General features: G+C 41.2%; 1 protein-coding gene and 1 long non-coding RNA gene across 5 annotated transcripts in view, besides 1 other annotated feature; one reads left to right on the top strand and one right to left on the bottom strand.

Moving 5' to 3' along the window:
- The window catches only part of HTR2A (5-hydroxytryptamine receptor 2A), a 66,537-nt gene that overhangs the window by 30,933 nt on the left and 18,740 nt on the right, over positions 1-16,864 (top strand). The gene's annotated exons all lie outside the window — the stretch shown is intronic.
- On the bottom strand, positions 10,851-15,010 carry HTR2A-AS1 (HTR2A antisense RNA 1). Of its 2 annotated transcripts, NR_046612.1 has the most exons (3): positions 14,924-15,010; positions 13,068-13,211; positions 10,851-11,060 (listed from the first exon to the last, which is right to left on the bottom strand). It is a non-coding gene; the product is annotated as an HTR2A antisense RNA 1 (long non-coding RNA). The 2 variants fall into 2 exon arrangements; NR_103752.1 differs by lacking the exon at positions 13,068-13,211.
- Positions 11,796-11,915: an enhancer, noted in NCBI's record as "active region_7714". NCBI's record gives its function as "activates an Ori minimal core promoter by ATAC-STARR-seq in GM12878 lymphoblastoid cells {active_cell/tissue: GM12878}" and the evidence as "EXISTENCE:reporter gene assay evidence [ECO:0000049][PMID:35858748]".

Here is a 16,864-nt window from a genome sequence, read left to right as displayed (position 1 = left end):
TTGCCCAAATGTCTATTTCTCAGTGAGGCTTATCCTGATTCCCCCACAAAAACCATGTTGTCTCCCATCTATTCCCCATCCAGTTTACCAAGCTTTATCTATCTCCCTCACTTATCACTTTTTGAGACAGAGTTTCACTCTTGTCACCCAGGCTGGAGTGCAGTGGCGCAATCTCGACTCACTGCAACCTCTGCCTCCCAGGTCAAGCGATTCTCCTGCCTCAGCTGCCCAAGTAACTGGGATTACAGGCGCCCACCACCACACCCAGCTAATCTTTGTATTTTTAGTAGAGAATATGTTTCACCAGGTTGGCCAGGCTGGTCTCGAACTCCTGACCTCAGGTGATCCACCCACCTTGGCCTCCCAAAGTTCTGGGATTACTGGCATGAGCCACCGTACCTGGCCTACTTATTACCTTCTGATGTGTTATGTAAAGCATTTATTATGTTTATTTTCAGTTCCTCTTGCTGAAAATGTAAATTCCATGAGGGTAGAAGTTTTTAGTCTAGTTCACTGATGACTCCCCAGTTCCTAACACAGTACCTAACTCAATATTTGTTAAATGAATGGGAATGAGAAAAGTAAGTTTCAAAGAGACTAAGTACCTAGTCAGAATTTCATAATTAACAAGGCAAGTCTGGGACTCAAAGCCAGGTCTTGTGACTTCAAGTGCATTACTGTTTACACTGTGCACCATTTACATTCCTCAGCTGCTCTCTCCCCTGAGGCCTGAGTTGATTGCACAGCCCCTCAGGCAGTACAGGATAGCTCTGCAGAGTGGCTGACAGACCCTAGGACAGGAAGCAGGCAGAGAAGGGAGGAACCACGAGGCCAGGCTGAGGCTGAAGGGCGAGTCAGCTTTCTCGGTAAGCCTATCAGGAAGCTGATTGCTTAATCTAACTGAGTCTGTGTGGGCCTGCCTCCTGGGCTAATAGCACAGATGCATTGCTCCGAACCCTATAAACAGGAATTGTCAGAAGTCTAATCTCTCCAAGTCAGGACTGCTGATAGTAATAGACATTTTAATAGGGAATTTTAATCTACAAAACAATTTATGAAACTCACGAATTAATCCTCTTATGATTCCCAGGATGTGAGCAAGATAAAGATAGTAGAACTTGAAAATAATGAAATATGTGAAAAATACAGCAAGAAGTCTCATGAGATGGCTGGAGAGAACCCAGAAAAGCTTACCTCGTCTCAAGCACCCAAATGTTCCCATCACTGCCAACAACATCTAGGACCACTTCAACTCTAGTATCTGTACATCTTCCAATCAGTGATAAATGCTGATCAGTATCCTACACAGGAGATTTCTCTCCAAATAGCGCAAGCCTTGTAATATTTAAGTAAATGACCCCAAAAATCATCTTCCCTTGAATCATATAGTTCTGTGTTGTCCAATAGAGTAGCCACTAGTCATATATATTGCCATTTCATTTTTATTTTATCAACTTAAATTTAACATTCAACTGCTCTGTCACACCAGCCACATTTTCAGTGGTCAGTACACACATGGCTGGTGGCTAGTACATTGGGCAGTAGATATGGAACCCTTCCGTCACAGAACGTTCCAATGGACATTGCTGCTCCAAGTACAGTCCAGGTGACCCAGGACTGGTTTAGGTCAGCATCTTCACCTAGTAGAGCCAGAATTGTTTTGTATTGCAGGCTGTTGCTAGGACTGAAGGCTGAAATCTCTTATATTCTTTTCTGTTGATGAACTTTGAGTCATTGCTTCATTTTGTCCTGCCTTTCTAGGCATGTAATATTTTATTTTTTGTCATGTACTCACTGACCTTAAATCCCTAACAGCTCAGCCTCTTTCCTCCCTATCACTTGCAGTCTTTCTCAGCTAGCTGACACATGACTTTTAAGACAATCTACTTGCTGTTATCACATTATTTGAGATATCATAAAATTAATCCTCTAATTTAAATTAAAGCTGCAGACCATTATCAGTGATAATACCAGGAAGTGAGTGAGGAAGGGTGGCAAAACATGTTCTAGGGTGATTCACCAAGATCCGGAGGAAGGAGAATCAGTGTTGACATGAATGGTTAACCCATAGGCAGTAAAGCTAATGTTAACATCTGCTCGGGTTTTAGGGACATAGTTTAAGAGCACGTGAAATATATCTAAAATCAATATGAGGTTAGGTTGGGTAAATTTAAAGACAAAATCATCTTCCAACCTAAAAAAAAACCTCTTTACAAATATAGTAGAGAAAGAAAGCAGCTTTATTATTGAATAAACGCTAAACTAGAATATGATACACATAGAGGGAATCCACTGAGGGATTGCAAAGACGAATCTCACTCTTTTATACAGCCAAACAGATGCATCCTATTACATAGGCATTCTCTAGATAAACAACTAGCTAGTCCTCACATAAGGACTTGACAGCACCATGTGCCTCACATAGTTCATCCTAAATATACCTGGTAATTGGGGTGAACATCTGTGTTAGCTAATTAGTGTCTTATAAAGGGAAAAACAAACTTCTCATATCTTAATGACAAGAAGTAGTTTTGCAAGTTGGAGGAGGAGGATCCTCGGAAGTTTAGGCTCCTACCTTCTTACCGAAGCCGCAAGATAGAAGTGTTGTCTCCTTTACGTCAGAGAGATGGCTCCTTGGTCCTAGAAAATGACACTCCTGGCTTGTAAGACCTGCGAGGGCCTTTTAAAATATTTTTCATCTCAAAGAGCCAAAGAAAGAATTTATAATTACAAGGATTTTATGAACTTTTAAGTTCAGGGGTACCTGTGCAGGTTTGTCATGTAGGTAAACTTGTGTCATGGCACAAGTTTGTTGTACAGATTATTTCATCACCCAGGTATTAAGCATAGTACCCATTATTTATTTTTCCTGATCGTCTAACTTCCTCCCAGGCCCCACCCTCCAACAGGCCCTAGTTGTGTGTTGTTCCCCTATGTGTCCATGTGTTCTCATCATTTAGCTCCCACTTATATGTGAGAACATGTGTATAGTTTAGTTTTGCTAAGGATAATGGCCTCCAGGCTCCATCCATGTCCCTGCAAAGGACATGATCTCATTTTTATGACTGCATAGTATTCTATGGTATATATGTACCACATTTTCTTTATCCAGTCTATCAGTGATGGATATTTATGTTGTTTCCATGTCTCTGCTATTGTGAATAGTGCTGCAATGAATATATGTGTGCATGTGTCTTTATAACAGAATAATTTATATTCCTTTGGGTATATATTCAGTAATGGGATTGCTGGGTCAAATGATATTTCTGCCTCTAGATCTTTGAGGAACCACCACACTGTCTTCCACAATGGTTGAACTAATTTACACTCCCACCGACAGTATATAAGTGTTCCTTTTTCTCCACAACCTTGCCAGCGTGTTATTTACTTCCTAATAATCACCATTCTGACTGGCATGAGATGGTATCTCATTGTGGTTTTGATTTTCAAATGATCAGTGATGTTGAGCTTTTTTCATATGACTGTCTTTTTTTTTTTTCTTTTTTTTTTTTTTTTTTTCATTTTGAGGGAGTCTCACTCTGGTGCCCAGGCTGGAGTGCAGTGGCAGCTTACTTCATAGCTCACGGCAGCCTTGAACTCCTGGGCTCAAGCAATCCTCCTGCCTCAGCCCCTTAAGTAGCTGGGACTACAGGCACACTCCACCACGCTCAGCTAATTTTTGTACTTTTTGTAGAGATGAGGCGCTGCTATGTTGCCCAGAGTGGTCTTGAACTCCTGGGCTCAAGCAATCCTTCCACCTCAGCCTTCCAAAGTGCTGAAATTTATAGGTATGAGCCACCACACCGGGCCAATTACAAGTTGACAAAGGAAAATGCTCTAAGAAAAGATAACTTTTGTTCTTATTCCCTTTTTATTTTTTAAGCATCAGAGCTATCAAACTGCATTCTCTTATTTTTAAAAGTGAGAGTTAAGCCTTTTATTTTTCATGTATAATTGCCCTTATAGTCTTCATAAGAAATTAAGAGTTTTGTATAACCATTTATACTTTCACCTTATTTGACTAATTTTGACTAATTGTTGAGAAAATAAGTCTGAATTAAAGAGTCACAATTGCAGTTTATTTCAGAGAAATTTTTATTCTCCAATGCACATGGTAACTAGTGTTATACCAGAAAGAATGGTAACTAGTGTTATACCAGAAAGAATATCAGCGAGTGGAGCTCCTTGAGGTATCTTGAGGATTAAATTGAAATGTTTTACAATTAGTGATTTAAGTCATTTACACAGAAATGACTGTCAAGTGCCTGAAGAGTCTAAGCATTTTAATTATCCCCCTATAATTTTATACCTTTGTAGAACAAATACCATTTTATAGGTAGTGCAAATATAGTATCTTTCTACATGTTCTGACAATAGTGGCATTCAAATAAGGTTTTATTATATGAACCAGACATATTACAAGCTATCTATTACCAACTAGAGGGCACTTCTAGAGTTACCTGACCCAACATAAGTTATAAGTTGTCTCAAATAGTTCACTTAGCGGAAGCCACTAACAAATGTGATCTCCCGAGTGGCCAGCCAGTTTTGGTTTTCCTGTTTCTCTTTTCTATTTCTGGAGTTTCTTATGCGGGGCAAGGGGCTCTATGTTCCCCAAAGTCACCTTTTATCTATCCCAAAATGGATTATACAATACATTTCCCCCTGGCTAACTTTTTCTGTTTTTGTTTTATTAACCTTGATAGCAAAATATAACAGATTCCCTAATACATTCATTTCCATAGAACAGGCCCATATGTTACACAGTTCTTACCTTTGCACTCCTGGATTGTGATACCTACCACACAGTAGGCCCTTAGTTATGGATGTGATGCATATAAAAACATTTTAAAAGGAATTACTTGCTTTGAGCCTATCTCCTCTAATGTACAATATACTTAAGCTGATTGGTTCAAAACCACATATGCATTTCCTATATGCTGTGTACTGACTGTTAGGCTTAAGTACACTTACAGAAGTTACAGTAACTTAATTATAATAGATCTGGCAAGGAACTTACTCATATCTCGTTCTCTGTTTTACAAACTTGGACAGTGGTTATTGAGGTCCACAGCTAATTTGTTATGTAAGAAATTAACAGGATCCTGGACCACTGACCCAGAAAGTAAAGGACAGGCAATAATAGCAAGACAGAATCTATTTCTATCTTATAGACAAACAAGGAGGTTATCTCCATGTGCATCCAATATTCCTCATTATCTAGGGTTCTTTTGCCATATAGAGAGGCATGAGGAAACCAAAACTGACTTCAGTTTGGGAGTTTTTAATCCATGAAGTTTTGGCAATAAATACTAGTTAAGCCACAGAAGGGCCCTCCTCTTGGAAATTGTAAGATAGGTAAAAATGATCTCTTCCAACTCTTAGGAGTGCCTTTTTCCCTCTCCCAAACACTAATTGCTCTGAAATAATCCACTCCTCAAAACTTTTGTCCTGACAGAATCTCTATTTAGGCAAAGGTATTAGTTGATAAGCCTAACAGGTTCTCAGTTATTGCCTCTTCGGAAGTGTTTGCATTTTAAACAGAAGCCAGTAAGTTCAAAATGCTTGATAGATCCAAACAGACAAATCTTTGATGGGAAAACCAGGAAGGTGAGGGAGACAATCTAAGAACAGGCCTTTCCAATGTCTCCCAAACTGTATCCCAGAAGCAACTTTACTCCTTTGCCCACAGCTGGTTCCACTCAAACGAAATTGGGTTGGTGTTTCTTGTAGCTGGGTCATGTCTGAAGGTAATGGAAATTAATAATGGCTCTGAGGATAAGGGAAGTAAAATGTTTACAATCTAAAATTATGTGAGAAGAAAGCTGCTAACCAATGAATTTTTAGGAAAAAAAAAGTAAATCACTTCTTTTGCACGTCAGCCCAAGTTTACAAATATCAGGAATGCTAACACAATAGAATTGTCTTATTTCTTCTCCTTTTCTTGCCTCTGAGCTTTTCTCCTCATTCCCCTCTGAATCTAGCTGCTTTCCGTTTATGACTTCAGTTCAATTTCCTACCAGCTATTATGAGATAACTAGGACCTTTTAAAGAATAAATTTGTATTTTCCCACTTAGTCAGCTTTCCATTCCTGCCTACAACAAAAACATCTGGTGAGTCTAATTTTAAGTAATCAACCTTTTCAGTTTGGTGATTAAGAGATATATATCTGAATTTGCATTTCATTTGTGGAAATTCTGCCTGGGAGCCATTCATTTTTCATCAAGCTCCCTGTGCTTTTCATTACTCCCTCCCTCTCATTTTCCCTGTGGTCAGCCTGCCTGAGTAAGCAGCTCTGTTTCACTGGTCTCAAGCTCTGCAATGTAAAACCATTAGCAAATCTTAATAATAGTAACCCATCAAATTTCATTATTTCAGTAATGGAATCTGTCAAGGTCAGCCACTGATGGCTGTTAATGGCCACTTTGTTGATAAATCGGGGGTAACTGCAATAATATTCATTTTAAGCAAATAAAATATGTTCTGATTAAGAATTCATTCTGCCCAGTTGGAGTCCAATTAAGCCAGCTTCTGGATGGAGTCTCACCCAGGATCTCTCCACTTAAGGAATATATTCGCAGTTGAAGTTTGACTTTTTTCAATAAAGCTCTTCTCTCTCCTTGAAAGAGATGAAACTTTGTCTTCAATCCAAAAGAACATAAAGGTGATTGTTCTGCAATCCTCCCTTGCCACAGACCTCCCTAACTCCTAACCCTGACACAAACACGTTCACACAGACCTGCCCATCTGTTTACCCTATCTGAGGCTATGGTTTTGCTTTAATATGAATTTAACTTGTTCATCATTAGCAATAGGGATCTTTTCCTATGTTACTCTATGTCATTATTATGGAAGTTTCTATGTATTATATAGCAACAGAAAGTAGATTCTGGGTTTGGATTAGAAGTCTAGGCAGGTATGACCTTCAAAACATTTACCAACCTGTACAGCACAGACACCAACCAACACACACAGTCCTCAGCACCAGAACTAGGGCACACTGGGCCAGGTATTAGGCCTTAAGTTGTGGGTTGAGGAGAATTCTGAGAATTCCTCGAAAAGGGCAAATAGAAGAATGAGTAAGGGCTGGGGGACTTCCAGGGCTCTGAGCAGAGGTTATTAAGTACAGAAGGACTTTGAATTTTAACAACCGACATGGCCATAAAAATGATACTGGCTAAAAAGAGCCTTGAGAACAGGAATCGTGACTGTTCTTTAGCCGTGAACTTAATTAGTATTTATAGGATGGTGATGATAGGCCAGGGCATAAAGCTGCCACTGGCTATACTCAGGTAAAAGAAGCAGGCACAATCTTTACCTTGTATCAGTCCACTCTTGCATTGCCGTAAAGAAATACCTGAGGCTGGGTAATTTATAAAGAAAAGCGGTTTAATCGGCTCACGGTTCTGCAGGCTGTACAGGAAGCATGGTGGCTTCTGGGGAGGCCTCGGGAAACTTTCAATCATGGCAGAAGGGGAAGCAGGCACAAATTACATGGCCCAGAGCAGGAGGAAGGTGAGGGAGGTGCTACACACTTGCAAACAACCAGATCTCCTGAGAACTCTCTCATGAAACAGCACTAGGGGGATGGTGGTAAACCATCAGAAACCACCCCCATGATCCAGTCACCTCCCACCAGCCCCACCTCCACATTGGAGATTATAATTTCACAGGAGATTTGAGCAGGGACACAGATCCAAACCCTATCAACCCTGAAGGACCTTATAATCATAGTGGGAAGAGAGTAATATGTAAATAAAAATATACTTTTAAGCTGATGAAATGGCATGGATGACAGGACGTAGAGCCATGATAGTAATAACAGGACCTGTTTGGAGAAGGTGTTCAGAAAATGCTTTTCTGACCATTTTCATCTCAGCTGAAACTTGAAGAATGAGAGGAATCAGCCATGTGATAGCATCTTGAAGGCTTGGGCAAATTATAGGTACTTCTCTTCAACACAAGATTTTAGATATCTGATTATTTGGGAAAGAGAGATCCCTGCAAATACCAAGTTATATTTTGGCCATTTTTAACATGTTGAGTATCTGTTTCTTTCAAAAGATAAAGTAGTTTTGCAAACAGAACTGATTTCCAAGCCTTAATATTGACAAAAAGGGCAAAGTGATGCCAAATTCTTCACTGCAGATGAAAGTAATTAAAATTGCTGTTCCTTGCAGGGATCAAGAATTCGAACGTCTTAGTGACTCATGATTTTTCAGTCAATTGTGAGATCAGGGTTTATGGCGCATCTGCCCTGCTTTTCTCAGACCTGTACCTTGCCATTCCACCTCTGAGATGGGTAGTGCCCATCTCACCAAATGGTCCACCATCAGCCAAGCCAGAACTCTGAATATCATTCTTGCCATCTTCCTCACCTCCCACATTTAGTCCATGGCTATAGCTGTCATTTCTGCCACCTCGGTATCCCTAAAATTCATTCCTTCTTCCTCACCCTCTCTGTTCAGCCTTAGTTTAGGACTTGATCTTTTGACAGGCATAAAACTAGATTATTTTAACTGGTCTGATTTATTTCCATTTCCAGTTCACACTCATGCCAGTGCCAGTCTAATTCCTAAAACCCAAATATGATCAGGTTTCTCGCCTGTCTAAAATATTATATTAGCTCTATCTCATTCCTTAGGCATAAAACATGACAGGCAAAACCCATCAAGAATTATTCCCTGCCTTCCATCCACAGCCCTCTGTACTACCTGCAATTCCTCATGGCATGTAAGTCTCATCATCATTCCCCAGCTTCCAAGCATTTCCTGCCACACCCCCTCCCACTACTCTTCATCCTTCAAGGCAGCTCAGTACTCCTTCCTGGAATCCCTTGCCCTGAGAGCTGCCTGAGAGAGGGGTCGTCAGATTCAGGTACCTGTTTTCCAAGCAGCTCTGCTTGGCTATACTTTATGTATATCCAAATCAGTATGTCTAAAACTGAATCGTCCCCTTCCCACCAAAGCTTTCTTCTCTCCAAGTTCTCAAGCTCCACAGAGAGGTACCACTCTACAAAGCTAAACTCTTAACCTTCATTTTCTTACTTGCACCTCCACCCAATCACTAAATCCTGCTGATGCTCCCTGCCACTGTCTTAGGAGTCCCCCACTTTTGTCCCCAGTGGCAATGTTTCTCATTTCCCACCTTGCTTACTGCAGCAGCCTCTTTACTGGTCTAGTTTCCCTCTAATCCACCCACCAAACAGCCAGGCTGTCATCTGAATATTTCCATTCTCTGCTTAAAGTCATTTAGTAGCTTCTTATTGCCCTCAGGGTAGAGGTGAATCTTCTCCATATGGCTTGCAAGGCCCTTCGAGATGTGGCTTCTCCCCACCTCCCCAGGTTCCTCTCTCTGGAGGATCCTTACCTCATATCAAATTACTTTCAGCTCTTATATGCTGTGCTTTCTTGCCTCCAGGGCATTTATTTCATTTGTCTGAATAAGCCCTTCTTGTTTTTGAGGCCTCACTATCACTTTCTACAGAAAGCCTTTTTGATCAGTTCTCAAATTCAAGTCAAATGCCCCTCCCTACTTACTATGGTCTGAATGCATCTCCCCAAAATTCACAGGTAGAAATGTAATCATCAATGTGATTATGTATTTGGAGGTGAGTCCTTTGAGAGGTGGTTAAATCATGAAGGCAGAGCTCTCAGGAATGAGATTAGAGCCCTTATCAAAGGGGCCCTAGAGAGCTGCCTTGGCCCTTCCATCCTGTGAGGATGCAGTGAGCAGGTGCCATTTATGAAATGGGCAAACCGACCCTCATTAGACACTGAATCTGCTGGTGCTTTCATCTTGGACATTCCAGCCTTGAGATCTGTGGGCAATGATTTTTTTTTTTTTTTTTTAAGATGGAGTCTTGCTCTGTCACCAGGCTGGAGTGCAGTGGTATGATCTCAGCTCACTGAAACCTCCGCCTCTCAGGTTCAAGTGATTCTTCTGCCTAGCCTCCTGAGTAGCTGGGACTGCAGGGGAGCACAATCACCCCCAGCTAATTTTTGTGTTTTTAGTAGAGACAGGATTTCACCAAGTTGGCCAGGATGGTCTCTATCTCTTGACCTCATGATCCACCCACCTCAGCCTCCCAAAGTGCTGAGATTACAGTCGTGAGCCACCGCGCCCAGCCAGCAATGAATTTCTATTGTTTACAAGCCACCTAGGCTGTGGCAGTTCGTTCTAGCAGCCTGAATGGATGAAGATGCTAGGGCTCCCCCCAGCACCTTGCACTGCCCTCATCCTCACATGGAATTATAGATGCCTCCTACTCAACTGAGCTGCACAACAGGGACTGTTATCGTGCCCCTGCTATCATGTGGCTGTTTTGGACAAGTTTGTTTAGCATTCTGCCTGGCACTTAGTAGATATTCACTAAGTATTTGCCAGATGAATGGATTTGTTGTGTAATTAGATAACGATAACCCTCTTAACCTAATCTGCAAATCCTTCATTAAGGACTTTCATCCCAGGATAGAAGTACATACATAAGAGTCATCGTACTACATGATACAAATGGCCCATTCAGCCTAGTGTTTTTTTGTATTTTTTTTTTTTAACTAAGAGAGTTAAAGCCTACTGGGGAAGGATTTGCTGACTTTCACTGTCATCGTCTTTAAGGTATACCCAAGACTTACATCCATTTAGAAGACCTGCATCCCAAGTGTAGGGATAGCCAAGCCTCACATTCATTTAAAAGGCTCTTCTTCAAAACCCTGCTGCATTTTCTACCTCTTGAATTTCATAAACTTGCAGTGTATGAAGAAACACTTTACATTTTTCTCCCCACTTGCTTTGTTCAGAAAAATAAAAGTAATTAGGTTTATTGAAGTGTCATTAAAAAGATAAAACATTGTACCTAGGTATTTGCATTTATTTCAAATCTTTTCTAAGTGGCATATTAGTTTGATTATAAATCTACGAGGGATTGTTTTGCTTTGTATTGTAATGAATTTTTAGAAATTTAAATTGTGTACTCTTACAAAAGATAGGAGAGCATATTGTCAGCAAGGAAGATGTACTTGAATCTTCTCCACCCACTGTCCAGAGCACTCTTCGTTTTCTAAGATCAACATATAACCAGGGATGAAGCAGGGTAAGGGATTGCTTTATTCTACCTGTTCTGTCCCAAACCCACACTAGGTCTCTAATCTTACTATTTTGGAATGTCAAAGAACACAGCAGTCAGGAAGAAGGTGTAAGTACAAGACAATAGTAGCCAGAGGAGAAAGACCATTTGCTCCAACGCCCAGAGCTGTTTCAGACCTTTGGCACCCTTACTTTTGCGGACCCCACCCACATCATATGTTATACACAATACACCACATTAAACATAACTTTATATGCCCTACTATCAGCTGATCTGGCTAGTGGACATGTTATATTTTAGATATTTAAGTTAAATATTAATTTTGAGATTGAATTTTTGGGGGAGCAGTACTTACTTTTCTCGGTCCTAAAATTTTTGTAGCAAGGTCCTCACCTGCCCTGCTGGCCATCCCACCTTAGGCCTTTTTTAGGGAGGGAAAGCTTTTGGGTTCTGTCTCCAGTTTACATGTTCCCTGGCCACACAGAATGAAGAATGTCCCGGAAGCATAAGGGAAAGCCAATGAGAAAAGCAGCCTGTGTACCCCCCCAGTTGAGAGCACCTTCCCCATCCACCCACACTGAACTGGGAAAGTGGAAATTGAGACAGCTACCCAGTGAGATTGATTTATGTCTCACACAAAGCTCCACCCACCAGAAAATATATTTGACTACATCCTGTGAAACTGCCCCTTCTGAAGGTCATAGTGGTTACATATCAGCCTTTTCACATGTTTCAACCGAAAAACTGAAGGAGTTCCCTTGAGTTTGAGCAATCTATAGTATCACTTCTCCTGGAAGGCAGAGTGAGAGAAAAGGGGGTGTACTGGTTTCCTAGGGCTACTGTAACAAAGAACCTCAAACTTATTGGCTTAAACTGACAGATTTCTTGTGTCACAGTTCCGGAGGTCAGAATTCTGGGAATCAAGGTATTGGCAGGATTGGTTCCTTCTGACCTGTGAAGGAGAGGCTGTTCCATGGCCTCTTCTTAGCTCTGGGGGGACATTAGTCAATTTGGTGTTCCCTGACTTATAGTTCCGTCTCCCAATCTCTGCCTTCATCTTCACATAATGTTATCTCAGCGTACACATGTCCACGTCCAAATTTTTTCTCTTTTTATAAGTTCAGTCGTAGTGGATTAGGGCCCACCCTAATGACCTTACTTAACCTTAACTTGATCATCTACAAAAGAATCTATTTCCAAATAAGATCACATTCACAGCTACTGGGGATCATTTGAGGGGACACAGTTCCACCATAACAGGGTGGGTAGGGATCTGTGATTTCCTGGCCAAAGGCATTATTCTGTTGCTGTTTGGAATGCTATCAAAATATTAATTATGGTATCACATCTCTGTGCCTAGGAGTCTCTGCTGACTTCTGTTATTGGTCGTGTAAGATCTTACAACCCCAGGGCAACTTTCAGCCTCAAAAGAACTGATGTCAGAGCCAGGGCTGGGGATAATGATATTTTGTTCTGATATAGGCTCAAAGTCACTATTTGAAGTCCTGGCTATAAAAATTAGTTCCAGCAGCTTTCACCTAAAGCTGGCCCAAGTCTGAAATGAACCAAATTGCATGAGCTCTATTATGTGCCCCTCTTGTAATATAAAAATCTAATAAAAGTAAATAGCAAAGTCTAATAGATAATCCTAACAGAGGAGCAAGCACTAAGGTGTGGTAGCTGAGGAACACCTAAGCTTGTGCTATTTGTAATGCTGCTTATTAGATACATCGCTGATCCTCCTGTCAACTCCAGTTAATGTTTCTGTCCCATTCAAGTTGAAAATGTTCAAATTCAGCTAATGTCTATGGCATCTCCTGAAAGCCCATCACTGCTGGGCACTTTTCCATTTTATTGCATTTAATCGTCACAACTCAGAGAGGAAACTTGTTTTGTTAGCTAAGAATCAAATCCTAGACTTGACACTAAGTCCACTGTGCTGGTCCCCCTGCTATTTGATAATATTCCAAAGCAAAATACCCATGCTACCGATGACTGGGACCCCCCAGCTCAGTCACTTGGGCTAGTTTTTCCTGTAGTCTTTCAGGATTGGAAGTAGAGTGGAGTTGTCAGGTCCTGTTACAAAAGTAGACTAACTGGAACTGTAGACTTTTTTCTTTAAACCTAACAGAAGGAAAAGATTGGTGAATCAAAAACTAGCATAAAAACTGCAAAAAACCTCTGGGAAAATAGACGGTCATGAAGTCCATATATGGGAAAGAAATGTAGCCCAGAAATTTCTAGGCATATGAAAAGCACAACTGTAAAACTAAGATGTTTTAGATGGAGGAGAGCTGAGAGTGACAGCTGAGAGTCGTAGATGCTGCCTTGGAAGAGTGTCCACGCTACCCTGGACAGGGGCCTGCCTGCCCACCCAGTGACCATGGCAGGGCAGAGAAAAAGCAATGTCAGCCCAGTATCTTCTCCAGCCAGTGGGGTGGCTTCAGGAGAGGGCTGGGACTGGGGATCTCAACCTTAGCAGCACATTAGAATCATCTGGGGAGGTTTAAAACAGCCTGATACACTTGGCCTCACCTGGAATGCACAAAATCAGAATCTCTATGGATTCAATTCACTATCAGTATTTAAGGCTGCCAGGTGATTCCAGTGTGCTGCCAACAACCACTGAGAGCACACAGCAAGGGAAGAGAGCAACCTGCTGGCTTCTGAGCTCTTTCTCCTCCCAGCCCAAGGGTTAGGGGATTGGGAGTCAGAGAAGTGGCCCAGGCAGATGAGTATGGAGGTGTCCAGCAAGATGTGGACAGATGGAGGATCTGGGAGCCCACATTTCAATGCTAGAGGCCATCTGCCCTAAGGTCCACCTTCCCCTTCTTCCTAATCAAGATCACCAGGAGGCGCACAGGCTGTAACCCCTTCTCCTGGTGTACGATATTAATCACGGCATCTTATATCCCCTGAAGGGGATATAAAGTCACAAGAAAAAATTTCTAGGCATATGAGAAGCACAAACTCTATAAGATACTGACAACAAGCAGACCAACTTTTACCTAACAATTCAGAATAATGCACTATATTAAGGAGAAAAAGAAAAATCAGATAAGAATTACCAGGAACTTTATAGGAAAAAAAAAAGCCCTAGAACTATTATAGGACAGACAAGACCTAAGTAGATAAAAATATAACATGTTCAAATTATTGAGATAACTTACCTTTGTTAACTGTAGAACTAAGGTGTTCATTTTCCACCAGATTATCTACAGTTTCAACAGTTTTAATCCAAAAGTTAAAATTTTTTGAGGAGCATGACTAAGTGATTTTAAAATGTTTATGGGAAAACAAAAGTTCATTACACCCATAGCTTGTATGTGGACAGGCCAAGGAAAGAAATCAGGGCTTCTGTCTCCCAGTCTGGTGCTAATTTCACCCCACCTGTCTACAGCCGTGAACTGCATTTTAACAGCACATAAAGAAATATACTGCATGCAATGCCGCTCCTCATATCATAGAACAATTATCTTAATCATAGGAAAGCTTAGAAGTTAACACATCAGTCTGAATGGCATCATAGCTCATCGTTTGTCCCTTTGACAAAGAACTTTTGTAGCGAATGCCACTCCAAACACACAGGGGCTAAGGCAAGGCTGTTACCGCAGTGGGAAGAGGGTAGCACTCTGTGTAAGCAGACGTGGCCAGCCCAGCCGAGAGAGCCCCCCTTTGCTGACTACCTCCAAGAACGTGGACACCTACAGTGCCGCCCAAGCGCCAGAGCGAGTCCCGGCAATGTGTGCCAGCTCCTTAGTGCTGCTGTAGCAATGACTACAAACTGAAATGACACCTCTGCTGTTGGCTTAAAACAACACAAATTTATTACTTACAGTTTTGGAAGTGAAAAGTCCAAAGTTGGTCTCACCAGGCCAAAACCAAGGTGTCAGTAGGGCTGCGTTCTTTCTGGAGGCACTAGGGAAAAAATATGTCACTGGCCCCTCCAGCTTCTAGAAACCACCTACACTCCTTGGCCCACGGTCCTTTTCCTGTTATCTTCCAAGGTAGCCAGTACAGATTGAATCCTGCTCTTATTGAATCACTTTGACCCAACACACCTTCCTCCCTCTTCCACTTTTAAGGAAATCTGTGATTACATTGGGCCCACCTGGATAATCCAGGGCACTCTAATTATTTCCAGCTCAGCTGATTGACATCTTTAATTCCCATCTGCAACTTTAGTTTATCCTTGCCATATAACACAACATATTCACAGCATCCAGGAGTTAGGCGTAGGCATCTTTGGGGACCATTATTCTGCTGATTACAAAATGCATCAGATTCAAACATTTAGCAGGCTAGAGCTAACACCTTCCTTATTACTATCACAAAATGTAGAAAAGCGGTGAATATATCATCGGGAAGTTTGCAGCTTATTTGGCTGGATCCACAACTGCCTTTCATGCCCAGAATGTTGCTAAAAGGAGAGTCTCTCTCCCAGTTACTCTACATCCATCCTGCCCTTGTAAAGCCACCTGGAAAACTGAAGCAATTTTTCAGAAATCCCTGTTTCCATTATATAAATATTCCGTGCGAAAGTGTTCTTTTGGTCTGACTTATTCTAATAAATGCTCCCATTTAACATGCATATGTGTAATCCAGCAAATTAACTTCTCCACAGGATATTAAAGTTAGTGTGTTTTGTGCTGTATGTATCTGTGCATGTACTATGTTTGAACCAGAATATACAATGTATCAAGGAGCTCATTCTTTATCTTTTTCCTGCATTTTCTTATAAACTATTTGGCTGATTAGATTTTTACTGTGACTTTTGTTTCTTATGTCTTTTAAAATTAGAAATTACTGCCATATTCTCTAGAAAAGTACTATCCAGAAGAAATAGAACTATGAAGATATGAAACTGGTTTTACTAGGAAACACACATATACACAGACACATACACACAAGACATAGTGTTTGTACACCCAGGCTCAGTGATTCAGAATCTTTTTTGTGTTGCAGAGTATTGGGATAATTACCTCTTTCCTGAAAAATGTACGTAGTCACATGAACATGAACTTTTGCACTCCTTTTCAAAGGGTTTCTGCCCCATCCTCACCCCCACCCCAGAAATCATCTATAGGTTAATTTGGAGGAAAAACATTCAACATCAGCACAGGTACGGGACACCAATTAGCTGGGAACCATGGAAAGAAAATAAGCATTGTAAGAAATAGCAGAGAAAATTGTAATTTCAAAAAATGTTGATCTTGGCATTGTGCATTAAAGACTTGCAGTAAAACATAACTGGTCCTTAGCATTAAGTTCTTAAAAGATGGTTTCTATAGCCAGTCTTCCCATAGATAGCATGTAAATGGCTCTAAATGAGAAACGTATAGCCCCTGCAACACAAGCACAGATAAAAGGAGGCCTGTCCCCACAGAAAGATTTCATAGGTAGGACACTGCATGAATTCCAGGCTCCGGATCTAAGAGCCAGCCTTGAGCAGCAATGAAGCAGCAACTCTTCAAGCAGCAACTTTTCTGAAGTGAGGAAGTTTGATCCCCAAGCCTGCATACCTGATGGCGAAAGTGTGCTGAGGCTACAGAGCATAGAAAAATACAGACTACAGAGCCAGGCTGTGGCTCAAAATTCTAGTTTCAGCACTTACTGTGTGACATTTGGCAACTTGCCTAACTTCTCTGTGCTTCCACTTTCTCATCAGCAAACAGTGATAATAATAGCACAAACTCATAGGGTGACTGTGAGGAGTAAGTGAGCTCATCTGTATAAAGCACTTAGGATAGTGCCTGGAGCACAGTAAGCACCATGTA

The sequence above is a fragment of the Homo sapiens genome, chromosome 13 (assembly GCF_000001405.40).
Source record: "Homo sapiens chromosome 13, GRCh38.p14 Primary Assembly".
Classification (NCBI taxonomy): Eukaryota; Metazoa; Chordata; class Mammalia; order Primates; family Hominidae; genus Homo; species Homo sapiens.
This window is presented reverse-complemented; position numbering and strand designations above follow the sequence as displayed.